The 1,019-nt window shown below is 42.1% G+C and overlaps 1 annotated feature.

The window, feature by feature from the left end:
- Positions 287-581: a silencer, noted in NCBI's record as "tiled region #1395; K562 Repressive non-DNase unmatched - State 24:Quies". NCBI's record gives its function as "represses a minimal TATA promoter and a strong SV40 promoter by Sharpr-MPRA in K562 cells {active_cell/tissue: K562}" and the evidence as "EXISTENCE:reporter gene assay evidence [ECO:0000049][PMID:27701403]".

The raw sequence follows: 1,019 nt of genomic DNA on the forward strand, positions 1-1,019 counted from the left end.
GGCAAATCCCTTTCAGTTCCTGCTGCTTACGTTCCTGATCTGATCTGGCTAATAATCATGGGGAGACTGGATGAGGCATATTGGGGGAAAGGAAATTTTCCATTTTATGCTTATGGATGATTCCCAGAGGAATCTTTTGTTTCAAGTCTCTTTCGAGTCCTTTGGGTGAAAGGCAAATGCTGAGCAGTTCTATCTTGCGCATAACTCCAATGGAGACACCTATAATACAAAACAGAGATCCCCCGGGGGCACCGTTATACATTTATTATAAAGCAAAGATTAAAACAATTTTATGGAAATTAAAGATAATATGGAACATTTGTCTCTCTCTCAGTCAAAGAGTAACATGAAGCAGTTCAACAAACAGCTCCAGGCAGTTCCATGCGAGATGATCGAATGGCTGGGACTAAGGGGACAGGCAGGGCGGCTGCCGACTGCGAGGTGTGGGTTTTTTACCAGGGCATCTTGCCGGTGCTTGGCAACTGTGCTCGGGTGAAAAATGATATGCCTGCAAAATCAGAACAATGGGCAAGTCGAAGGGTACTTAGGTGGTTTGCCCTCTTGAAATCTATCTCAGCAGGACAGGATGCAAACAGCAGGGTGGGGACCAGAAGGGGTGTCCCGGATAGCTTTTTATGTTTTGTCTTTTTTTGGAGTGCGTGTATGTGTGTGTGTGTGTGTGTGTGTGTGTGTGTGTGTGTGTGTGTGTGTGGTTTTCTCTGTTTCTACTTGATTCATGTGCTCACTGGAAAAAAAAATGTACAAAAGCCCTGGAAATTTGCTAAAACTCCAAGCTGGTAGCATTTCCATTTTATATATAATAGAATCTTGTTACCAAAAAGAAGTGGTGGTCAAAGGAGAGTAAAACATATGTGTTAAACAAGAAATATACTTTACTTCATTTGCACACAAGGGTCTGATTTGACCTCTAGTGCACTGAATTTATGGTAAAAGGAGGGCTTTTAAATTGGGTTTGTTTTATTTTGATCCTCTGTCTGGATATTTCTTTCATACCTCCC

This window comes from Homo sapiens, chromosome 1 (assembly GCF_000001405.40).
Source record: "Homo sapiens chromosome 1, GRCh38.p14 Primary Assembly".
NCBI classification, from domain to species: Eukaryota; Metazoa; Chordata; class Mammalia; order Primates; family Hominidae; genus Homo; species Homo sapiens.